A 24,381-nucleotide genomic window follows, 5' to 3' on the forward strand; every position below is an offset into this window, starting at 1 on the left:
GAGTGTGCACGTGTGTGTGCACATTCCCTCCCCACCTTCCTTGGGTAAACAGCAGCACGCTGGTCACATTCTTCTCGCCTTGCCTTTCCCACGTAACAACACCCCCTGGAGACGGTGCCACGGCAGCTCCCAGAGACGCTCCCTGCACCTGACTGCAGCCACATGTCCTCGCTGCAAGGCTGTTACGCGGCACACACTGCAGGCTCCTACTGGTGGGTCTGGTGCTTAGTGTTCTGCTCTCCAAACAGAGCTGAAAACAGCCACGTGAGTCCTTGTTCTAATTTTCCGAGTGCACCTTTGGGCTATGTTCACATCTGTGGGGTTGCTGGCTCTAACGGTTTCTTATCCAAACTACCCATCAGCCCTTAGCCCAGGCTACCTCCACCTCCTAGGCAGAGGCCACAGCCTCTTGCAGTTCCGCCACGTGATTCTGACTGTACCAGCTTTCCCCACCACAGCCCCGCTCCAGCTTTCTGAGGCCTTTGAGTCCACTTGCTGTGCAGCCGCCATCGCCGTTTCTGCTCTGTCCTTGTTGGTCTCTGCCTCTTTAAGGATGGCTTATCCTGCTGCGTGCATGGCTGAATGCACGGCTTAACCTCTATCTAGATTTGATTGATTGGCAGTGTCCCTCTTTTGCTGGACGTTGCCAATCAAACCTCTAAAAATTCATTTATTCTTGAAAAAGATACAAGAAAGTACCAAAGGGGTGGCCACAGCATGGCTGTCCAGGCACGGGCGCCCTCCCAGGGCAGCCACACTTCTGCACGTGCAGGGTTCTCATTAATTCTTAGCTTGTCTCCAGCCATGGCTTATTCAAACCCCGATCTTATTTCCTCCTTTGACTAGAAAGCTCTCTGGTGGTACCCCCTCTATCGTCTCTCATCCTACCCAGGGCCTCCGAGTCCCTGCTGGCTCAGGCTTTGAAAGCCCAGGCCCCTTACCCGGCTCCAGCTCCGCGGGCTGGCCGGCCACCTGCTCACACTGTCTAAGCTTTTTCAAGGCTGTCCTTGGCATCCATTCGGACCGTGTCCCAGTCCCTCAGTTATTGCAGCCATCAGAGGGGGAGAGGAAAGAAGGAAGAGAAGGGCACTGCCCCCACCTCCAACCAGGCGGCATCATTTGAGACTCGTGCAGAAGGGAAGCCGCCCCAAGCCAGCCAGGCATTTGGGCCCCTAAATGCCACAGCTCCTCTCTTAGCGGCCACAGTTGCCCCGGCAACGTGCGGCCGCGGGCAGGCTACCTTCACTGAGGCCTCCCTCCAGACCCGCAGCTCCAATCCACACCCTCTTTGAAAAATGTTTACACACAGTGCCACGAGGTCTCCGGCAGAGGGCTTGCGGGTGCAAGGAAACCCACAGGCCCACACCTGCAATGCTGGTGTGGGTGTGGAGGGGCAGCTGCTTGTCTCCTGCTCCTCCCCGAGCATCAAAGCACGCGGGTGGCACAGCAGGGTGTGCTTCTGCATCTGCCCGGGCCAGCTGGCTGCTGTGTGCACACCGGGAGGCCTCTCTGTCCAGAGCACCAGGAGGAGGCTGGCCTCACACCTCAATGCGACTGGTTACAAATACAGATTCCCAGCCCTCACAGCAGCAGGTGCTCTATAAATACTATTGAGCAGTTCTCTTTGGGACTGTGGTAAAACACAGCAGGGTAGGAATGCCTGGGTTCAAGTCTCAGCTGCCCCACTGTCAGGTGAGTTTGTGACCTCAGAGCAGGGCTCTGGCCCTCATCAGCTCTATCTGCAGCAGGGGAGCAGCAGTTCTGGCAGTCTATCCATGAGAATGCCTGAGGACGGGTGTGTGACTGGAAGGGGGGATGCAGAGGCCCTGCTCTGCTGGGGAGGATCCCCGGTGCTGCCCCGAAGCCCTGTACTGCAGCCCGGCTTTCCCACCTAAGCAGGCTTTGTCTATGGTCCTGCCCCCTCCCTGGCTGTCCTTCCCATGTACCCTGTGCAGCAGCCGGTCCTGGAGGGCAGTGTTCACCGCTTCCTGTGTCAGGAGGCGCTCGCTGCTGGGGCTGGGCTGTGCACGAATCAGGGGCTGTACGGGATTCTCAGTCCACTATCTTGTTCTCAACAAGAATATCCATAATTTCAGTTCAAAGCAGTGGAAGAGCATCATATGGAGGCAGAGTCGGAGAGCTGGGGTAGCTTCCTCTGACAGCACCCTTCATCCTGCTGTGTCCTTCAGCTGTCCTCCCTCCCCTGTGCTGCTCCGCACGGCCACTGCATGCTGGCTTCAAGGCCCCTGTCAGGGGTCAGGGCCCAGGCTGAATACCTGGCACATGAGGGGGCCTGGCCATATTTGCAGCGTGACTAGCAAGGGAATATTAACAGCCAGTGTCAACTGAGCACTGACGACATGGCTGCCCCTGGGCTAAGGACTTCACATAGTTACACCATTCAGTCCTCACTAGCACCCTATGGACCAGGTGGCGACGGGATCCCATTTTACAGATGAGGGACAGAAGCTACAGCGGAGCCCTGGGTCCTCCCCTCTCTACCAGGAGAGTAACCAAGAGCAGTCCCACCCCCTGGGGGGCAGTGCAGCTGTGAATGCCACCATCGGAGATGGGAAAGCACCAGGGGCAGCTGTGTCGCTCACATCCACGCTCGCCTTACCAGCGTGGATGCACAGAGTCCCAGGGAGCCTGGAGAAAGGTATGGACTATCTTCAACTTAATCTGGTGGTGACACCCACTGAGGTTGCTGTTCCCAATGTGCTATCTTTACCGGAGCAAATCGGTACAACCCCAGACACTCGGATGCAGCTAAGACCTTGTGAATTCCTTTGCTCCACATTGATCTGCAAGGAGTACTAGTAGGAGTCTGCTTTCACCTGACAACACCAGTGGTCCACATGCACAGCCCGTCCTCAGGCTACCCCGAGCCTCCTGCTCTCTGCCATGCCGGGGCCCTCAGAGATCCCATCAGCTCAGCTTTCCAGAAAACATCATGCTGTCCACGATACTGATGACATTACGGTAACTAGATCATGAGCAGGAAGTAGCAAATGCTTCGGATGCCTTCTATGCAAAGAAGGGTGGGGGAAGCCCACAGAGATGCAGGGGCCTGCCAGTTCAGTGAGGGTTCTGCGTCCTCAGTGCTCTGGAACATGTTGAGATAGCCCCTCCAAGGGGGGAACATTCCGCTGCCTCTCACCATCTCATGCACACATGGACACATACATGCTCACACGCACACAGGCACGAGGCTTGGCAGGTCTTTGTGGAGTGTGGAGGCAACACAGGCCACATTTGAACATTTTCTCCAGCCCATCTACAAAGTCCTCTGCAAGCCTGCCCGCTTCTAGTGGGGACCAGAGTAAGATAAGGCTCTGTGCAGGTCCCAGCTGCAGCAGCACAGGCCTTGCTGCCAATCGGCTTGACAGCCCGGCAGCTGCAGCGACACTTACAGTACCCATGGCAAACAGGGACGCGTGTGGAGGCTCTGGCCAGCACCAGCAACAGAATCCCAGTGCAGGCCTCGAGGACTTGGGAGCGCATCCAGGCCCTTCTCCGCAGGTAACTCTTCTTCTGGGAAACACCTCTCTGGCTTGCTCCTGGGCCACGGTGTATACCTTGCCCAGGCTTGCCCAGCTAGGTCACTTCTGTTAGCTTTGTGTACCAGTCCCCAGGCTCACCCAAGGAACAGACTCTGTGGGTGGCAGCCCCTCTCCAAGAGTTAAGGACAGCAGCCCCTAACACCCAGGACAGCTCATCCCGGGTCTGTGAACCCCAGCCAGCAGGCCCAGGGATGGGCAGGGGATGGTGGATTTTTTTTTTTCTGCCTTCTGCTAGGAGCATGAGACAGACTAAGAGAGAGGTGAGAGAAAAGGGCATTTGGAAACGAGCTTCGAGGTAGGGGAGAAAACAGGCTCTTTCTTTTGAAATGCCAGGGTTGGCAGCATCAGAACAGGAGCGAACAGGGTCCTGGTACTGTGCAGCCCCACCTCCCAACGCCAGGGGAACGGAGCCCTGGCACCCCCGTAAACACACACACCAGGTCCTGGATGGGACCAAGCCACCACTTTGCCCCCTGAACAGCACACTCAGAAGGGGATCTCTGCTCTCCAGCTAACCCCCCTCCTAGCCCCCAGGGATGTGGCTCCTTTAGTTTTGTGGAGGTGATGGCGGGAAAGTCCTGTTCTCAGAAGCTTCCTTCCCCCTCCCTGCTCTGTGACTCCTGTCTCCTCTGCTGGACTTCTCCACCTTAGTCTTGGTGGCCTGGGGGGCAACTGCCCATCATTCTCAGCCAGCAGGCCTCTCTCAGGAGGACAGGCCCTGGCATACTCTGCCCCCACCCCCCACCCACCTTTTCAATTCAGACACAACTGGCCAGCACTCACATTAAAACAGAGATCCGGAGAGTAATGGAATGAACTCCTGGTAGCAATAAGACACCAAACTATAAACAAGACCTGAGGCCATGCCAGGCAAGGTGATCCTGCACCCTAAACCTAAGAATAAGGTGGATTCTGGCCGCCACAAGGCTTTTCTGATTCTCTAGCAGCTAAGCAAGCGCTGGCCTTGGGATAAGCAACATTAATATAATTGTAGCTCATCCACCTCCAGACACTGACAGCTGGCCTGTGTTCCACCAGCCATAACCACAGCTGTGACTGGACAAGAGACTGATTTCAGTGACTTTCTCCTGACAAGAGACCACTGGCCGTGGGCTGGCTCTCGCTGGGTCACAGAGGCTGCACTGAGCCCCTTTGAGTCCCTGCTTCACCTTTCCACATGCAGGGCCTGATTGCCATGCCTTTCAATGTTAAGTCTCTACCCCGAGGTGAACATGGGAGGCGTGTACCATGCATGTGTGCTCAGCGCACACGCGTCAGGGCCCCTGTGTGAATACTCATGGCTTCTATAACCTGCTGAGTGTGCTTAGCCAGCGTATCCTCATTCCAGCCCCACTCCCCTGAAGTGCCTGCTTCCGGCTTTGGCCAGAGGCTATGCTTCCCAGCTGGTCACAATGCCACCTCGCAGGCGTAACCCTTTACAAAATAAAGTCTCCTTTCGAAATTTTATGATTTTGTGATTTCTTTTCAGTTGACACCACTCCTCCCCCTCCCCTACTCTCAGGCAAGGACCCCCTCCCTCCCTCCTGAACACCCCCTATCATGTGCTGCCGACCTCTGCAGGCCTGGCCCCCTCGGAATCACATCCCGGGGGAGCCCCTCTGAGCCCACTCTCCTCCCTGTACCGGCCCCATCTGGCCACCACCCTGGGAGCATCCCTGTCCTCGTCTCAGAGGTATGCCAACCGCCCCGCCCAGGTCACCTTGGCTGCTGACCAGACGCTCCCAGTCCTCAACGCTTCCTACACGACCACATCCCAGACCCTCCTCACACCGTCCCCTTCCCTGATCCTGGCCTCCAGGCCTCCTCCACATCGTGCTGGTGTTCTGACCCACAAACGGCTCTGATTCCACAGCTGTGGTCTGGGCGGGCCCTGTGTGGGGAGGGAGAGCCCAGAGACCTGGTCCTTTATTGACCAGATGCTCCTGAACATTCTGCCTGGGTCCTGTCCCTGTCCCCACCCCCAGGACTCCTGTAGTTAAAGCCTCCTGGGGAGGGTGTGGTGCCGGCCTGGCTGTGGACTTGTGCTGACCCCTTCTGGGGCCGGGCTGGACTCACCCTGACCTTGTTCCTCTTGAGCAGAGCTTGCAGTCACCTGCAGCTCATTCTAGAACGACCCCCATGGTCCCCGCTTCCCAGTGGGCCCTGGGGAATGGTGTGGGCTCAGGTGGGGCCTGATTCAAGTTGGGGAATCCTAAAGTGGCATGGCTTCCTGGTGTGTTTAAAATACTCATTTGCTCCTCACTCAGAAGGGCAGTTGCTATAAATGGCCTCCAGCAGCCTGGAGATGGCACTGATGGTGTCATCAGCCAGCTCGGGTCTGAGAGGCGCCTCCTCCCTGGAGCCCCCGTGGTGGTGAAAGGAGCAGGGGCCCTGAGGCCGGGCCCCCAAATCTCTCTGGCCATTCATGTGGCCTCTCAGGGGATGTGGTGGTGACTCAGACTCCGAGGTCATGGAGAAGGCCCCTCTGATAAGCTGAGCTACGAATGTGCCTGACTCTCCTTCAGGAGGCTAGGACAGAGGACAGAGGACACCCAGGGACAATGGCAGACCAGGGCAAAGGGCAGAGAGGAGGCTGCGGAGGCAGCCAGGCAGCCAGACTCCCGCCCATGCTCCTTCACCGGGCGACCCAGACCTTGCCAGGGACTCAGGTGTCTCAGCCACAAAATGGGATGGTGGTGAGAGGGAGGGGCCTGAGTGCATGTTAAGGACCTGGAGAGCTGCCAGGAGCATCTGCAGCAAATGGGCAGGCCACACTCTCATGACCGTCCTCCCATCCCTGCAGATGATCCGGACCCAGACGACAAGGCAGAAGGTAGGAACCAGGATGGCGGCGCAGAAACCAACCGAGCATCAGGTGCACCTCGGCGTGATGCTGCCAGCCCCAGCTGAGGATCTGGCAGGCCGAGAGGCCGAGACCCCGTCCCCAGGCGTCCCTGAGGTCTGAGGGTCAGGTTGTCCATGTGTGGGACGAACGTGGCTCTCGGGCTGCTGTGGTGCCCTAGTATCCGGTGGAAGCAGGAAGGTTTGGCAGGTCCTCAGCAGGGATGCAGCCTCCTGGGCTGACGCGAGGCTCCTTGCCAGTGCCTCGACGCGCAATGCAGGTGCCACCTGGTGGCCATGGGACCCTGGAAAGGGGCTCCAGGTCCCACAAGAACACCCCAGTTCATGGCCCTTTATGGCACCCATGGGAGGGGCTGGATGGGGCTCTTTCCCGTTTACTGCGCAGTGTTCAAGTTGCCCAGAGCTCCATTAGCCTGCCCCGGTCAGCCAGCGTGGGGGCAGCAGAGCTCCATGGGGAGGGGGGCTCCTGCATCCTGATGAAGGCCCAGGCAGAAGCAGGCCCGGCAGAGCCTGAGGCTGAGGGCAGAAGGGGGTCTCTCCTGGGCGATTCTTTACTATGCCCTGACAAGCGGGTCAGCTCGCCGGCTCCCCAGGGGCATGGAAGGAAGGAAGCGTCCTCGGCATCCGTGGGGGAGATCACCTACGCCAAGTGGGGGAGGGTGAAAGGTGAAGGGGGGTCCGTGGCAGCCGGCGAGCTGGGAGAAGCACAGCACCCAGAGGAACCCAGGTGGCGACTCCTGCTCCAGGGTCCCCACACCCGCCTCTCAGGAGGGGCTCCCCTGTTTGAAGAAATAAAAGGTCCTGGGGAGGCCCCCGTGACGATTTCCCCCCACTGGTGGCCTTGTGGGAGCCTTAGGGGAGGAGACGGGATCTCCTCAATGTGATGATGGGGGCAGATCATGGGGCATCCTGGAGCCTGGCTTGGGGCGGAACTCAGTGGGGTTCAGACACCCTGGTCACTTACTCCCCTTTGGGACCAGGGAGTAAGAAACGGGTGCCTGGGGAGCCAGTGGCACACCAGGCCAGGACCAGTGTCTCATGTGGCACCAGCTCAGGACCCATGTCATGCTAGGAAACCATCATGGCACCCACTACTTGCAACAGCAGGGTCTGTACCCACTGCAGAATCTCACCCAGTCCTCCCAGCAGCCCTGTCAGCAGCCACTACTGCATCCCCATCTTCCAGATGGGAGGCTGGGCCCAGAGAAGGCGGGTGACTTGGCCAAGGCCACACAGCTGGTAATGGTGGCTGGTGCAGTGGAACCGGGCAGTTGGGGTTCAACACACGGGTTCCCCATTACCACCCAAAACCCCCCACAAGGTGCCGTGGGATGCAGGCTGCAGTGCGGCGGATGCAGATTCTGGGTTATTTTAGAATAGCCTAGAAGGTCCTCCTCTCCTGACAGGGATTCCAAGATCTATACACCTTCGCATTGTGGTAAAATACACGTGGCCTAACACTGACCATTGATAACATTTAGTACAGTCATAGCACTTTGCAACCACCACCTCTATCTAGTTCCAGAATGTTTTTGTCACCCCAGAAGGAAACCCTGCACTCATAAGCAGTCACTCCCCTCCCCCTCCCACTGGTAACCGCTCACCTCCTCCCTGTCTCTGTGGATTTGCCTATTCTGGGCATTTCATGTGAAAGGAATCAGACACTATCTGGCCTTTCATGCCTGGCGTCTTTCACCTGGCCTCATGTTTTCAGGGTTCACAACGTTGGACCAGGCATCAGTCTTCTGTTCCTCTTTATGGCTGAATAATATTCCATTGCACAGACAGACCACAGTTGGTTTTTTTGCTTACCAGTTACGACCATTTATGGTTTGGGTTGTGGGGATGTAGGATGGTGCGGCTGCTATGAAGACAGTATGGCATTCCTCAACACTCAACAGAGTTACCACATAATCCAGCAATTCCACTCCTGGGTACAGAAGAAGAGAAAGGAATGCAGGGACTCAAGCAGATATTTGCTCACCATGTTCACAGCAGCGTCATCGCAATAACCAAGAGGTGGGAGCAACCCAAATGTCCCCTGATGGATGAGTGGATAAACAAAATGTGGTCTATCCATGCAATGGAATATTACTCAGCCGTGAAAAGGAGGAGGCCGGGCACCGTGGCTCATGCCTGTAATCTCTGCACTATGTTGCCCAGGCTGGTCTCAAACTTCCGGGCTGAAACAATCCTCGCACCCAGGAGTTCGAGATCAGCCTGGGCAACACAGTGAGACACCATTTCTACAAAAAAATTAAAAACTAGCCGGGTGTGGTGACACGTGCCTGTAATCCCAGTTAATCGGGAGGCTGAAGTGGGAGGATTGCTTGAGCCCGGGAATTTGAGGCTGCACTGAGCTATGATCATACCACTGCACTCCTGCCTGGGTGACAGAGCAAGACCCTGTCTCAAAAAAATTTAAAAACACAAAAGGAAGGAAGTGCTGACACATACTACAACGTGGATGAGCCTTGAGGACATCATGCTCAGCGAAATAAGCCAGACACAGAAGGACTAATACTGTGTGATTCCATTTATCTGCAGTCCCTAGAGTAGCCAAATCCACAGAGACAGAAAGTAGAACAGTGGGTGCCCGGGGCTGGGAGAAGAGAGAATGAAGAGCTAGTGTTTACTGGGGACGGAGTTTACTGGGGACAGTGTTTATTGGGAAGATGGAAAGTTCTGAGATGGATAGTGGTGACGATTGCACAACAATGTAAGTATACTGAAGTGTATGCTTAAAAATGGCTGAGATTTTGTCCGGGCTTGGTGGCTCATGCTTGTAATCCCAGCACCTTGGGAGGCCGAGGCGGGTGGATCGTTTGAGGCCAGGCCTTTGAGACCAGTCTGGACAACATAGTGAAACCCCATCTCTACTAAAAATACAAAAATAAATAAATAAATAAAACATTCGTCGGGCTTGGTGGCGCACATCTGTAATCCCAGCTACTTGGTGGCTGAGGTGGAGGTTGCAATGAGCCAAGATGGCACCACTGTACCCCAGCCTGGGCAACAGAGCACGACTGTCTCAAAAAAAAAAAAAAAAAAAAAAAAAACAAAAAGGCTAAGATTATAGAGTTTACATGTATTTTACTATGATTTAAAATAATAACTTTTTAAAAGGGAGAGGCATGGCCCAGGCCCAGGCGCCTCACCTGCCAGCCCCATGAGTGCCTCTCTGGGCCTTTGCATCCATCTGTGCTGGGGGCTGGTGGTGGGGCCACTCTTTGGGGTCTTGGAGGATCAAATGCAAATGCACCCACGCGCCCGGGGGCCTGAGCCTGGGGTGCATGCTTGGCAGAGGTGAGCTGGGGTTTTCTTTGTCCCACACTAGACTGACTGCCTCGCGGGTGGACGACTGTTCCCAGGTCACGGTTGAGGGTGAGGCCCCAGGGAGGCCTGGGATCATGCCAGGGCAGGCAGGGTGACTGTGGCATGCAGCAGGGCTGTGAGGACAAGTCTAGGGCTAAGGTCCCATCTCAGTGTCCCCAGGCCTTGCTGTGTGGCCACAGGCATTTTGCTGCGCCTCTGCGTCCTAGGAGTGGGGATAAGCAGCACCTCGGGGCTGGCATGGGGACTGGGTAGGAGCGCAGAGACACTGAGCGCCTTGGGAAGTCCTGGGCCTGCATGTCACTCGGGGCTGGAAGTGGCTTCTCCACACCTGGTCACTTGCTGGCTGGCCCCCCACTGATGAGACGGGGTCCTTGCAGCTCCACTTCTCCCCATACATTTCTTTCCTGCCTCGCAGCTCTGGGTGCTGGGGCTTGTCTCTGCCAAACCTTCCCGGAGCTGACAGTAGGGACCAGATCTCTCCTTGTCTGCCTGGACCGTGGTGTGTAGTGACAGTTCTGGGATATATGCCCCTCTCTAGGACAGAGGCTGGGTACGGAGCTCTGAGCATTTTCCTCCAACCTGGGCTTCTTCCCTCTGGATCACTGCACCTGGGCAGAGAGGCCCAAGGAAACAAATCTCCTTGATTCTTTTGCTTGTCATTGAGAAACTCAATGCTGAGCATGAGTTGAAATTTCAGGCATGCTGAGCTGAAATTCCTGTGGCAGCAGCTGTTCTCAGGAACATGTCAGTTCCATAAGGCAGGTGCCCCCATACTGTGCAAGATAAATGTGTTTCCGGGTGTCAGCAGGCAGGACTGCCCTGGACAACTGTGTAGGTTGTTCACTCCACAAGGGGGTCTGCTGGGGGTGGTGTTCAAGTCCACTCTGTGCTCTGCCCCCCATGCTGTGCACAGCTGCTGGCATGCCTGCCTAGAGTGGGGGGCCTTCTCACATTTGCACAAAGGTATTGTGGGCTCACAGAGGTGGCCCATCAGCAAACGCCTCAAGTCTATGGGCAGAATTGTGGGTCTGTGTGCGTGCATTTTCCTAGAGGGAGGGCCCCTGGTCCTCGCCAGACTCTAAAATGGAGTCACAACCCAGAAAGAGGCCCAGAGCCCCTCTTCCAGGGAAGCAGGCACAGCACAGTGAAGCCAGCTCCCAATACAGTCCATTGTCCATGGAAAAAAAAAAAAAAGCATTTAGTGGGAATGCAGAATGGTGCAGCTGCAGTGAAAGAGTTTGAAGGTTCCTCAAAGAGTTAAACACAGAATTACCCAATGACCCAGCAATTCCATGCCTACTTATAACCCCAGAATAATTCAGAGCAGGGTCTTAGACCGACACGTGCGCATGAGTGTCCACAGCAGCACCATTCAGTAGCCAAAAGATGGACGCAACCCAGTGTCTACGGACAGAGGGATGAATAACACTCTGTGGTCGAGCCATACAGTGCGACACTCACAGAAAGGAATGAAATGCTGACACGTGTTCCAACAAGGAGAGCCTCAGAGACATGATGCTGAATGAAAGAAGCCACGAAGCACCCCACTTTGCATGATTGCATTTCTATGTAATGTCCAGAGTAGCCAAATTCACAGCGGCGGAAAGCAGACGTTGCCGGAGGCTGGGGGGAGGGGCAATGGGAGGGACGGCCCTTGGGGACGGGGTTTCCTTCTGGGGTGATGGAAATGTCCAGGAACCGGAAGAAGGTGATGGTTGCACACCCTGTGATTGTGTCGAATATCACTGTACACTTTTGAATGGTGAATTTTATGTGTATTTTTACATTTTACATTTTTAGACTTTTATTTTTGTAGAGATGGGGTCTTGCTGTGTTGTCTAGGCTGGTCTCAAACTCCCGGGCTAAACCGATCCTCCTGCCTTGGCCTCCCAAAGTGTTGGGATTACAGGTGTGAGCCACTGTGCCTGGACTTCTTTTTAAAAAGACAATCGATTCAAGGTCTCAAATACAGAGACTCCTAGGTGCAAATTCTACATCCTTATTCCAGTGTCAGAACTGCTGAGAATGTCCAACCTAGCTCCAATCACAACCCGGGGGCCCATGTCATCTGGCCCCTCCCCCTGCTTGCCTGGCGTTCCCTCTGCCGCAGCCATGCTGGGTGCCCCTCTGTTCCCCAATGACTGGCTCCCATCAGCTTTTTGGGGGACATGCATATTTCTTTAATTGAGATGAGCTTATATAATGTAAAATTCACACTTTTAAAGTGTGCGACTCCATGGCATTTAGTACATTCACAGTGTTGTGCAAGCACCACCTCTAGTTCATCCCCCTACAAGGAAACCCCCTACCCATTAGCAGTCAGTCCTCACTCTCCCCTTCCCCAGCCATAGGCAAGCACCAATCGGCCTGTCCTGGACATTTCATGAAAATGGAACTGTGCACCATGTCTCCTTTTGTGTCTGCTTCTTTTACTCAGTGTCACCCCTTCCATGCTCACCCACAAGGTGGCACGTCTCATCACTTTCTTCCTCTTTATGGCCAAGTAGTGTTCCACTGCATGGGTGCCCATTCTCCAAGAGCTGTGGTACATGGCTGGTCTGAGCTCATCCCAGCCCAGTGTCTCTTGGTGAAGGAGGAGTAAAGGCCAGTATCTGCTAGGCGCTGCCCTAGAGGGGCAGTGTATTAGTCTGTTTTCCTGCTGCTATTAAGGACATACCCAAGACTGGGTAATTTATAAAGGAAAGAGGTTTAATTGACTCACAGTTCTGCATGGCTGGGGAGGCCTCAGGAAACTTACAATCATGGCAGAAGGGGAAGCAAACACGTCCTTCCTCACATGGCGGCAGGAGAGAGAAATGCTGAGTAAAAGGGGGAAAAGCCCCTTATAAAACCATCAGATCTTGTGAAAATTCACTCACTATCATGAGAACAGCATGAAGGTAACCGCCCCCATGATTCAATTACTTCCCACTCGTTCCCTCCCACAACACATGGGGATTATGGGAACTACAATTCAAGATGAGATTTGGGTGGAGATGCAGCCAAACCATATCAGGCAGTAACTCACTAAGTCCTTGCTCAGCCCTGGGAGGCAGGTGCTGTCCCCATTCACAGACAGAAGCCACCATGGAGGGCCCAGGGCAGGACACAGGGCTGGGACAAGGCCCCAGGTGTCCTGGTCTGCAGTCTGTGGTCTTGCCCCTGAGCCAGGCTGGCTTCAACAAATGCCAGCTGGATGAAAGAATGACAGTGTCCTAAGACTGCTGGGGAGTCCAAACTGGTGGCTTCACTCTAGCATGTCACTTCTTCCCATAAATGACAGTGACACAGTTCATCAGTTCAGGTGACGCTTCAGACACTACTGCACAGACCGAGGGATGTAGAGGACAATGGCGAGGTGGGGACTCACGATCTGCATGACGGTCTTTCCCTTGACTGTCTGCCTCACCGAGAGTGCAGTCAGGCCATGAAGCTGCTTCGGCCCAACAGAGATGAGGATAGTCAAGTTCGTTAGCTATGCAGGGGCAGGAGATGTGGATAGTGCCTCTGGCTGGGGAAACACTGACAAAGGAGCCATGGCTCCAGGACCCTGGTCAGGGTGGTCCTCAGCTCTCACACTCTGCTTCCCACCCATGTTGAACAGGGCAGAGCTGACCTGGAGGGAAGACTGGCTTTGGGGCAGGTGAGGCAGGCACATGAAGTAGTGCTCATGACCAGGGATGGTTCCCACGAACACCTTCCTCCCTCCCACCCTCTATTATCCATTTTCCATCCATCTGCTCACCTAATCCATCTTCCCACATGAGTCAGTCCATCCATCGCTCTATCCATCCATTACTCCATCCATCCATCTGTCCTTCCATCCATCCTCTATCCTCCATCATTCAGTCCATCCATCACTCTATCCCTCTGTTCTTCCATTCATCCATTCATTATCTACCATCATCCATCTGCCATCATCCATCAGTCTAACCAGTCCATCCATTTATCCATCATCCATCCATCCATCCATCTGCCATCATCCATCAGTCCAACCATCAGTCCGTCCGTCCATCCATCCATCCATCCATCCATCCGTCCGTCCGTCCATCTATTCATCCATTCACCATCATCCATCAGTCTATTCATCTGTCTGTTCGTCCATCTCCCCGTCCTTCTGTCTGCTGGTGCATCTCATGTCTGTCAGGTTGCCTCTGTGAGGTCAAGTGTTGTGCTAGACGCTGGGGAATGAATAACTCCTGGCCCCGCCTTTAAGGGCTGCACAGTTGGGCAGGAGGATGGCCACCCAGGGGGACCGAGGCCAGCCCTGCAGCAGGGCCACCCAGCAGCACTGTGGGAAGTCCCTGTGCTCCACGGGGCAGGAGAGGTTCGGGTGGGCCATCCGCTGGCAGGGAGCTGGGCCCAGGCACTTGGGAAGCTTGGGAGCCTGAGAAGAAGGTGTCAGGGCCTGGTAAGCTGTGGGGGAAGCAGTGACTGGCCGGAGACCCCAGGAAAGGCACATAGCCCAGAATGGACATGTGGCTCACCCGAGGCTGGTTGACTGAGGGGGCTGCGTGGGGGCTGGGCCTGAAGCCAGACCAGCCCTACAGGGCCCAACTCTCTGCAGGTGCACACACTGTCGCCAAGGCACGTGGACACACCTGCACCCCCAGGCCCCAGCCACCGACAGCACCATGCCTGCCCCCTGGGGGCCCTCACCCTGGGCTGAAGCCCACCCAGGTCTGCTGGAGGCACCGACCCAGGAGACCTCCTTACCCTGGCCTCACTGCCCGGCTCTGTGCTGAGCCTGCCCTGTGTGGTCTGAGCGGAGCTCACAGTGCCAGGGGCTGGGCCAGCTGTAAGTGGCGGGGTGTGGCGGGCTCATCACGCTTGTTGTTTGTTAAAGTTCAACTCCGTTGGACCAAGCTGAGATGAGGCTTGGTCTAAAATAAAACCGGAGCTGCGTCAGTGTGTGGGCCGGCTCTGTAGGCTGGAGGCCACTCCACAGCCAGCAAAGTGTGGCTGTGCACCCCAGGGCTGTCCCCACCCAGGCTGGCGAGCTGTCCCCATGAGGCCCAGCTGTGGCCTCTGGTGAACCCGAGAGGCAGAATGGCCGGCCGATCCTGAGGCTGTGTCTGCACCCACATGGCTGCGGTGGGCACAGGGCCCACTCCCAGGGACCCGATTCCCACACTCAGTGTCTCCCATGAGCTCCTGGGCTTCAGGCTTGTGGCTCCCCTTCAGCTGGGGTCAGACACCTCAGGCTTGGCTCTCACTTCTTGAGCCAATGTCTTGGACATTTCGTGAAAATGGAACCGTGCACCGTGCCACCTTTTGTATCTGCTTCTTTCACTCAGTGTCACCCCTTCCATGCTCACCCACAAGGTGGCATGTCTCATCACTTTCTTCCTTTTTATGGCCAAGTAGTGTTCCACTGCATGGGTGCCCATTCTCCAAGAGCTGTGGTACATGGCTGGTCTGAGCTCATCCCAGCCCAGTGTCTCTTGGTGAAGGAGAGAACCATGGGGTGAGGACAGAGCAGAGGACCCTTCTTACTCCAGGAAATAAACAGCATTTTCTGAGCCGTGTTGAGTGTTGGGCTTTGTGTCGTACGTCAGCTAGAAGAGGGTTCCCCAGATGAGGCTGGGGAGGGGTGGGGGCACGGTCTGCCCATGCTCCTTTTGCTCCCTCAGGGCCTCCCAAACACTGAGATCCTAGTTTGAAAGGATCTGCCAAGTTCCCTGAGCGCCCCCCTCTCAGAGTCCCCTGCAGGGGTGTCCCCAACAGCCCCTCCAGAATTTAGGCCTGAGAAGCGGAGGAGGGAAACCTCCCCCCAGGATGCTCATTAGGAAAGAAGCCCCCAGGGCCAGCATGGCAGCCCCCAAAAGATATGTCCTAGTCCCCGGAACCTGTGAATATGACTTTATTTGGAAAAAGTCTTTGCAAATGTAATTATGTTTCTCAACAGAATATGACCCGGGATTTATGGTGGTTTAAAATCCAATGACACGTGTTCTCGTAAGAGACAGAAGAGGAGGAGACACACAGCTGGGAGAGGGCATGTGGAGATGAAGTCAGAGACAGGATGCAGCCAAGCCAAGGAACGCTGGGAGCCCCCAGAAGCTAGAAGTGGCAGGAGGCCTCCTCCCCGGAGTCTTGGGATGGCACGGGGCCCTGCCACACCTGGCTGCAGCCCTGTGAGGCTGCTGTCTGACTTCTGGCTCCCAGGACTGTAGGGGAACACATTCCCCTTGCTTGAAGCTGCCCCGTTTGTAGCCACTTGTGGCAAGCCCAGGCCACTCAAACACACCCAACAAAGTGAAGAAATAGGCGGCTGGGCCCTGGCTCAGTCCTGCAGAGGCACGAGTCAGCTCTGCGGAGGGGACCCTCGACATTCTGCTGGCAACAGGGACCGTGTGTGCGGGGCCAGGCCTGGTGTAGCCGACGTCAACCCTGCAGCAGGTCACAGAGGCCCGTGGGGGGTCTTCCAGGAGGCATTTTATGGGGCACGTGCCCTGAGGAACTCTCTGGCCAGTCACCTGCCCTAGCTGGATTTACATTGAGAGGGCAGCGAGAGACCCCATGAGTGTCACAAAACAGTGATCTCAAAGTAGCTCACTCACTTGCAGAGGGGCGTTACCCTTGAACACTCGTGACCATCCTGGGCCCAGCACACCCACGGGGCAGTAGCGAGCGGTGGAGATGAGGGGCAGAGACCAGTGGGGATTCAGGCGGTCACTGTCACCTCCCCAGCCTGAGGCCTGGGTAAGGCCAGAAAGCTGAGTCACCCCACCCGGGGGCTCCTGCAGCCCTGCCTGTGGACATAGCCAGCAGCCCACACGGAGTCCCCGGGCGCTGACCTCTTCCAAACAGCCTTGCCAGTCCTTCCCCCAGAATTAGCCGACAGTGACCCGGAGGGACCAGGGGATCTGAGGCCACCGCCTTTGTCCCGAGGGGCTTGGCCAAGGATGCACAGTGGAGTGGACACTGCTTGCCAGGCCTCTTGTGGACTGCACGCTAGGCCTCTGTGCCAGGCTCTGGATGGGGCAAAATCACAGGTGGCACATGGCTCATATGGTATTCTGGGGATGCGTCCTCCCCTGAGCCAGTGCTAAGGAGGTGGCTCCCACTGTCCCATGCAGTGTCCTGGCCCTTGGTCAGAGTAAAGCTCTGGTCAGGAGGAAGGAGCAGGATAACGTGGGGCTAACCTGTCTGCTGCAGGAAATGCATGGAGGAGGAGGTGGCTGTCACTCTTGCTCCGTCAGTGGTGGAGTCTGTGCTGGTTCCCTGGGGCTCTGCCTGCTCCAGGGGGAGATAAGATCCACCAGCCAGGGGGCAGAACAGCCCCCGGGGCAGAGCCTCCAGGGAACAGCCCCATTCCACACAGAGAAAGCACTGGGTGGGGCGGGAGGCACGCACAGACGGTGGGGAGGGCTGAGTGTTGGGGGCAGCCCTGAGTGCTGTCTCAGGGGCACCCCCAGCCTCACCATCAACCACCCCTCCATTAGCCTTGGCTACTGAGATGCAGCCTAGAAGAGGACGTGGGCTAGGAAGCCTCCTGGGTTACCCCGTCGGCCGCCACAAGCCTGGCACCCAGGCACTAGGCTTGCAGAACTACTCTGCCTCTCGCTCGGGGCCGATGTACGGGTTTACTTTTACCTTATGCAGAGTTCTAACAGGGTGGCTAACTGGATCTGCGGCACACAGAGGATCAGGATCAGGAAATCAGACAAGGAAGAAGGGCTGCAGAGGCAGGCCCATGCACACAGAGGGAGAGGCCGGATGGCAGAGCGTGCACGGCCGACCCCAGGATGCAACAGCACCGAATGCCAGTGCCACAGAGAGCAGGCTGTGCCACACGCGGGCCTGGCATGACCTGGTGCCCAAACGCAGCTGGCAGGACAGCCTTGGATGGACTGGAGACATTAAATGATGTTCTCCATTTAAAGAAAGTAGAGTAAATGAAGAACATTTTAGAACATTCCATCCCAAATGGGGGCCAGACTCCGAGTCGGGGTGCCCAACAGATCTGCGGGGGAAAGGTGCTGTGACACCGCGGTCTGGGGGGTTTAGGGCACACAGAAAGCTCACTCGCCACGCTCACCACGCTCACTCGCCACGCTCACCACGCTCACTCGCCACGCTCACTCACCATACTCACCACGCTCACTCATGAGTGGATGAGCAATCACAGACAGCACCACAGGCTGGCGGCAACTCCGGCGCTCTTATCTACCCAGCTTCTCCCTGCCCAGACTCTGCTGTGGGGACCAGGATGTAATCTGGGCGCTGACCCATGTCCACCCTCTCCTCGTTCAGCTGGGATGAGCCATGACCCAGCAGGCTGGGGTTTCCAGGGAGTGCGCTTCTCTCCCGGGGGGGCCGTAGCAGAGGGCCTGGGTGCTTTAACCACAGACGTTCATGTTCCTACAGTCCTGGAGGTGAAGTCCAAGATCAAGGTGTGGGCAGGGTGGGTTCCTCTGGGGACTGCGAGGCAGTTTCTGTTCCAAGCATTTTTGTGCCCCTGGTGGTGGCTGGCAAGCCTTGGTGTCCCTGGCTTGGAGGAGCATCACCCCCCTCTGCCTCCATCTTCGCCTGGCCTTCCCACTGTGTGCCTGTCTGCGCCCAAACCTCCCTCTTCTTACAAGGAAGTGGGCCAGTAGATCAGGGGCTGCCCTACCCTTGTGACCCCATCTTAACCAGTCACATCGCAATGTCCCAATTTCCAAGCAAGACCTCACTCTGAGGTAATGGGGGTTAGGGCTTCAACGTAAGAATCCAGGGGAACACGATTCATTCCACAGCCGTGAGTTATGGGCATGCTTGTCTCATCTCACATGCCTCCCCCAGGCCAGTGTCCCCAAGAGCAGGGGCCAGGGCTCACCCATCTCTGCAAGAAGGAGAACAGAACCAGCAAGCGGGGCGCCCACGGGCAGGTCAAGGGGACGGCGTCTGAGAAACCCAGGCAGGCTGGGGCCCCTCCCTCCTGTGGAGTCGAGGTGATGAAGGCAGGCTGGGGCTCCTCTCTCCTGCGGAGTCGGAGTGATGAGGACCATTCTCATCCTACCACCTCCTCCCTGCCCGCGGGAGCCTGGGAGTCTCATGTCCAGCCTGACACACACACGATACCCATGGCCGCAGCTTCACGATTAGCGACGGGGGGTGAGCTGACTCCATGGAGGCCTTGAAACCCACCCCGTCAGCCCCACCCAGGGCTGCATCTTTATAGTTTTAATTTTTAACTGTACTGCGGTAAAATCCATATAACATAAAACTTCCAACCTGCCCAACATGGTGAAGCCCCATCTCTACTAAAAATACAAAAATTAGCCGGGTGTGGTGGCGGGCGCCTGCAACGCCCAGCCACTCGGGAGGCTGAGGCAGAGGTTGCAGTGAGCTGAAATCACGCCACTGCACTCCAGCCTGGGCGAAAGAGTAAGACTCAAAAAAAAAAAAAAAAAAACTCAGATATAAAACTCAGCACGCTAACCTGTTAGCGCAGAATTCAGTGTCACTGAACACACAATGTCCAGAACATTCTCATCTTCCCAAACTGAGCCTGTCCCTGTGAACCACTAACTCCCCATCTCCTTCCCCAGCCCCTGGCACTCACCCTCCAACTTTCTGTCTCCATGGACTTCGCTACTCTAGAAGCTTCGTATGACTGGGATGGTTCAGTGCTGAGCTTGTCTCCCGTGACTGGCTTATTTCACTTGGCATAATATCCTCAAGGGTCCTCCATAGGAGGCCTTTGTAGCCAGTGTCGGTTTTCCCTCCTGCCTAAGATGGAACGATGCTCCCTGATCGGGATACACCACATTTGCCTTCCTCCTGCACCGGTGATGGACACTTAAGCTGGCCCTTTCACCTGAGAACACCTGTCCTTCCGTCAGCCTGGCTGCACCTCTAAGCCTTCCCTACTCATCAGCCTGGCGGGAACAGTAGGAATAGCCACCGGCCCCCCACCAACCATCCTTGGCTTCATCAAGAAAATGGACAGCTGGCTGTGCTGGCTGGGCAGCTTCCTGGCGTGCCCTCCTGGCCAGTCACCTCTGCAGGTAGCAGGTGGGCTGGCAGGCACGAGCCAGCTAGGACACGGTGAGTGATGACTAGATGTGTAGGTGACTGTGGGCCTCACCAGAGACCTCTGGGCAGGCAGGGGTGAGGCCAGCAGGCACTGACAGATGTGGGGCGTGGAGCCTGGTGTCCAACTTGGCTCTGAGAGCCCGGTTTATGGCCTAAGGCAGTGGTTTTCAAGCGGGGGAAACGGTGCCCCCCACAAAACACATTCAGCCATGTTGGGAGATATTTTTGGTTGTGACAACAACTTGTGTTGCTACTGGCATCTTGTGGGTGGAGACCAAGGAAGCTGCTATACATCCTACAAAGCACAGGACAGTCCCCCACAACAGAGAATTGCTGAGTCCCAGGTGCCACCAATGCCGGGGCTGACCCTGCCCTAAGGCTGAGGGCAGCCATCTTGGAAGGCAGCCTGCAGTTCTCGTGGCAGCTGGCACAGAGCAGGACCCATGCAAACCAGAGAGCTCCTCACTCAGAAGCTTCTGCACACCCCGTGACAGTGGCTAGAGGGGGTTTACTGCCCAGGATCCACGCTACTCCTCTGTGCACGGGCCACTGAGTGCCCAGTAGTGCCTGGGCAAATGCTGAGTGGCTGCTGCATGGCATGGTTGAGTTATTGCAGAGAAGTTACAAAAACAGACTACATAGTGAGCTGACCGGTGGCCCTCGAAAGATATGTCCATGCCTTTAACCCCTGGCACCTGCCAATGTGACCTTATTTGGAAACAGCCTCTTTGTAGATATAATTAAGTTAAGGATTTCGAGATGAGATCATCCTCGGTTACTGAAGTGGGCCCTGAATCCAGTGACGGGTGCCCTTATGAGGGATGAGAAGAGAGAGGAGGATGAGGCTGTGTGACGACAGAGACACAGGTTGGCACCATGTGGCTAGCAGCCAAGGAATACCGGGAGCCCCAGAGCTGGAGGAGGCAAGGAAGGACCCTCCCCTAGAGCCTAGAGGGGGCTCATGGCTTTGCCCACACCTTGATTTTGGAATTCTGGCCTCCGAACTGTGAGAAAATCCATGTGTGTCGTTTGCAGCACAGCCCCTGGAGGTGCATGTGGGCTGTGCTCAGCCCTGCTTATGGGACACGGCCATAGCCTCCTGACCCTCACTGGGCAGGGCTCTGGGACTCTCTCCAACACCTCCACTCTAACCATCAGGTCCTTCCTGGAGCACAAACCCAACAGCCCAGGAAGGTTGGCAAACGACTCAGAAGTCATGTGGGCCTGAGTGGCTACTCCTGGAAGCTGGTTCCCAAAGAAGCATTTTCACAAGACAACCTGATCACGCAGCTTCCTGCCTGTACCCTGGCGGGGTTTCCAATGGGCCTCCTAACTCCCGGGCACCATAGCCTCAGTTTCCCCACTGCCATGAAGAGAGGCAGGAAATGTTCCCAGGGGATTTCTCTAGTATCTCAAGGGCTGACTGTCCCCCCATCTGGAGATCTCAGCAGGAAGGGGGCCCCCCCGGGACCGCTGACCAATCCCACAAATGAGAACTTGAACAGAGCAAGCAGGCGGGTAGAAGGGCAGGGGCGGCATGCGCTGGGTGAGGAGGCAGAGCCCTCAACCGGCCTGGCGTGGGGTGGCGGCTGAGCTCCCCAGGGTAACTGCATGTGCTTTTCATGGAACTGGAACTGCAGTTTGATGGCCGGGCACCTTTCAGATCAGAGGATGCTCTGTTAGAGAAAGGCACGGAGGAGCCACACACAGTCTGCGTTGTGAAATGGGTATTTGGTTTTCCTCTCCTCTACTGACACATGGCTCCTAAAATCTCAGGACCCTCCAGAGTGCTGAGTGTCTTTGTATGCTAGTGAGATGACTGGTGGCTGGGGGTCCCTAGATAGCTTCAGAATGGGGGCTGGTTACCAAAAGAACCAATCCCAAGATTAGAGGGTTGGAATTTTCCGCCCTGCCCTCCAGCCTCCAGGGAGGAGAGAGAGAGGCTGAAGGTTGAGTCGATCACCAATGGCCAATGATTGAATCAATCATGTCCGTGTAATGAAACTTCCATAAAACCCCCAAAAGGACAGGGTTTGGAGGAGTTTCTGAATAGATGAACACGTGGAGGTTCCTTGGGGGTGGCGTGCCTGGGCAGGGCATCAAAGCTGCACGCCTTCCCCTGTACCTCACCCCACACATCACTCCATTTGTAATATCCTTTATAAGAAACCGGCAAACGTATTTCCCTCCATTCTGTGAGCTGCTCTAGCAAATTAATTGAACCAGAGAAGGGCATCATGGGAACCCTGATTCATAGCTGGTCGGTCAGAGGCACAGGTCACAACCTGGGGCTTGTTCTTGGCACCTGCAAAGGACGTGGGGCCCATCTTGTGGGACTGAGCCTCACCCTATGGGATCAACACACTCTCCAGGTGAGCAGTGCAGAACTGAATTGAATTAGGGGCACCTGCTGGTGTCCGAGGGAACCGATTGCTTGCTTGCTGTGTGTGGGAACCCCACTCATCTGGCCACTGAGGGCTCTGTGTGGATTGCGTTGAGAGAGTATAGTGGGAAGAAACTGAGTTTGCTTTTTCCTATAGCCTCACAGTCCCCCCAAATTTGGCCTCAACGAGAGGCTGTTAGCAGACACGTTCCCATTTCTTAAGGCAACTTTCCAGAAGTCAGGAAACAGCCTATTTGGAAAACCCAACCCTGACCTCCCATCCTGTGCCTCTCCCTGGGGATGACAGGCCCAGTTCAAATCTCCACTCTCCACATGCAGGAGAGAGTCCTGGGGCCGCAGAACCTCTCCAGCCCCGGCCTGCCCACTCTGTGCCTCAGTGTCCTCATCTGGAAAATGGGCCAGTCCCAGCAGCTACGGGGAACATAGCTGTTGTGAAGATAAAATGAGCCCCCAAAGGTGGAGCCCCACGCGTAGGACCTTCCAGACCAGCTGTTAGCAATTGTCATTGTTTAGCCTGGGGTTTGGAGGGGGGCAAGGCTACTGCCCCTGTCTGTCCCTGTGAGACCCGGAGCAGCTGCCCGTGGGAGAGTGACTGACGGATCTCACTGTGGGCCGTGCAGTGTGTATGGTTCACCAGGGCCCAAATCCCTGCCCAGGGAGAGGCACTCAGCAGGGTCAGGAGGGGCCACCCCGCCCTCAGGTCACAGTAGACACCATCCCATCCCAACACCCCCTCCCTGGCCTGGACCAGCAGATGGACTTGGGACCAGGAGCGGGGTGGCCACCTCTGCAGGGACACAGGTCTTTCATCCGGTAGGCGACAAAAGGGGAGGCCCCTGCTGCTGCTGTGACCTGAAACCGCAGTCTCACTGCGACGACAGAGGCGAGACCTCAGCCCACCCTCAGGCTTCTGATGCCACAAAGGAGCAAATGTCACCGGGGCTGTCCTGGGCAAGGCACCGGTGTCCCCACCCACAGGTCCTTCAGGGATTGCATCCTCTGAGCCCACGTGAGCACCAAGGACACCGTCGCGGGACCACGTGGGGCTGCGGCCTCTGGGGATGGGCCAGCTGCTGTGTCTCCTGCTGGGGTGGCGGTGGACCTCGGGAGCTTCTCTCACATGCCAAGCACGGGCACAGGATGGCCTCTTGGAAGAGGATGGGCCGGTGGCAAGAGCCCAGGCCAGGGCAGGCAAGGGCCACTGGGGCCTGGGAGGGGTTGCGCTCTGATTCCCCGATCACCACCCCAGTCCTGCCGTGGGCGTCTCTTTTTGTCTGAGAATGGATGGAAGTGGCTCCTGCAGTCCCTGGGCTCGCGCTGTCTGAGCTCCTAATCCGGCTGGCCGGAGGCAGCGTCGCATTGCTAATCAGCTCCTTTGTGTGCCAGTCTCGTCTTCCTGACCAGCTCCCAGCTCCTGCCTGTCTGCAGCTCCTGCTCCAGAGACATTCACGGCCCCTGACTCACTGCAGCCTTTGCTGGCCCTGGGGTGGGGCTCCCAGGGAGGGGCTGGCCAAGCAGGGGAGTCAGGGCAGCTCTGGGAGGCCCCGAGCCACCGCACGCTCTCTCCTGGATGGCGCCCACCTCAGCGCCCACTGCAGAGCTGAGGGTCCTCACCTCGGGGTCTTGGTTTTCTCCCCTGAGAGCAGCTCAGTGACAGCACCGTCTCCCTAAGGCCACTGGGACGGGATAATTCACGCACACCCTCCGTACGGCGCCTGCACACGGTAATTGCTCATTAAACAGCTGGTGTTGTATTTTTTTCTGACACCAAATACATCATTCCAACATCAACCAATTCTCTAATCCCTGCCAGCTGGGTGTCCTACTGCTCAGTTCAATTCTGACAGTACCTCCCAGAGTCAGTGCAGACCCTGCGGGCGAAGGGCCCAGTCCCACAAGACTGCCCCAGCCTCGGAGGCCAGTTGCCAAGAAGTGGCTCCCCAGATGACCCACACTTCTGCCTGGCTGACTACGAGTCAGAGCTCCCATAACCCTTGCTCAGGTCTGATATTTGCTAGAACCATTCACAATACTCGGGAACATGCATCACTTATGGCAACCAGTTGATTATGGAGGCTGCACCTCTGAACAGCCCACAGGGAAGAGAAGCTCGGGGCAAATGGGGGGTGCAGAGCTTCCACACCCCCTTGGGTACCACCAGCTTGGAACCTCCCAAGCCTGGTTGTTTTT

The 24,381-nt window shown here is 56.4% G+C and overlaps 1 protein-coding gene across 32 annotated transcripts in view, besides 7 other annotated features; it reads right to left on the reverse strand.

Annotated features, from left to right (window-relative positions):
• SHANK2 (SH3 and multiple ankyrin repeat domains 2) overlaps positions 1-24,381 on the reverse strand; it is a 785,381-nt gene that overhangs the window by 53,844 nt on the left and 707,156 nt on the right. The window lies entirely within an intron of this gene.
• Positions 1,693-2,650: an enhancer, noted in NCBI's record as "H3K27ac-H3K4me1 hESC enhancer chr11:70369495-70370452 (GRCh37/hg19 assembly coordinates)". NCBI's record gives its function as "activates a minimal SCP1, AML or CMV promoter by ChIP-STARR-seq in primed H9 embryonic stem cells {active_cell/tissue: H9 hESC(primed)}" and the evidence as "EXISTENCE:reporter gene assay evidence [ECO:0000049][PMID:30033119]".
• Positions 2,651-3,606: an enhancer, noted in NCBI's record as "H3K27ac-H3K4me1 hESC enhancer chr11:70370453-70371408 (GRCh37/hg19 assembly coordinates)". NCBI's record gives its function as "activates a minimal SCP1, AML or CMV promoter by ChIP-STARR-seq in primed H9 embryonic stem cells {active_cell/tissue: H9 hESC(primed)}" and the evidence as "EXISTENCE:reporter gene assay evidence [ECO:0000049][PMID:30033119]".
• Positions 3,607-4,564: an enhancer, noted in NCBI's record as "H3K27ac-H3K4me1 hESC enhancer chr11:70371409-70372366 (GRCh37/hg19 assembly coordinates)". NCBI's record gives its function as "activates a minimal SCP1, AML or CMV promoter by ChIP-STARR-seq in primed H9 embryonic stem cells {active_cell/tissue: H9 hESC(primed)}" and the evidence as "EXISTENCE:reporter gene assay evidence [ECO:0000049][PMID:30033119]".
• Positions 5,521-6,477: an enhancer, noted in NCBI's record as "H3K4me1 hESC enhancer chr11:70373323-70374279 (GRCh37/hg19 assembly coordinates)". NCBI's record gives its function as "activates a minimal SCP1, AML or CMV promoter by ChIP-STARR-seq in naive H9 embryonic stem cells {active_cell/tissue: H9 hESC(naive)}" and the evidence as "EXISTENCE:reporter gene assay evidence [ECO:0000049][PMID:30033119]".
• Positions 16,819-17,438: an enhancer, noted in NCBI's record as "H3K4me1 hESC enhancer chr11:70384621-70385240 (GRCh37/hg19 assembly coordinates)". NCBI's record gives its function as "activates a minimal SCP1, AML or CMV promoter by ChIP-STARR-seq in primed H9 embryonic stem cells {active_cell/tissue: H9 hESC(primed)}" and the evidence as "EXISTENCE:reporter gene assay evidence [ECO:0000049][PMID:30033119]".
• Positions 17,439-18,056: an enhancer, noted in NCBI's record as "H3K4me1 hESC enhancer chr11:70385241-70385858 (GRCh37/hg19 assembly coordinates)". NCBI's record gives its function as "activates a minimal SCP1, AML or CMV promoter by ChIP-STARR-seq in primed H9 embryonic stem cells {active_cell/tissue: H9 hESC(primed)}" and the evidence as "EXISTENCE:reporter gene assay evidence [ECO:0000049][PMID:30033119]".
• Positions 23,037-23,871: an enhancer, noted in NCBI's record as "H3K27ac-H3K4me1 hESC enhancer chr11:70390839-70391673 (GRCh37/hg19 assembly coordinates)". NCBI's record gives its function as "activates a minimal SCP1, AML or CMV promoter by ChIP-STARR-seq in naive H9 embryonic stem cells {active_cell/tissue: H9 hESC(naive)}" and the evidence as "EXISTENCE:reporter gene assay evidence [ECO:0000049][PMID:30033119]".

This window comes from Homo sapiens, chromosome 11 (assembly GCF_000001405.40).
Source record: "Homo sapiens chromosome 11, GRCh38.p14 Primary Assembly".
NCBI classification, from domain to species: Eukaryota; Metazoa; Chordata; class Mammalia; order Primates; family Hominidae; genus Homo; species Homo sapiens.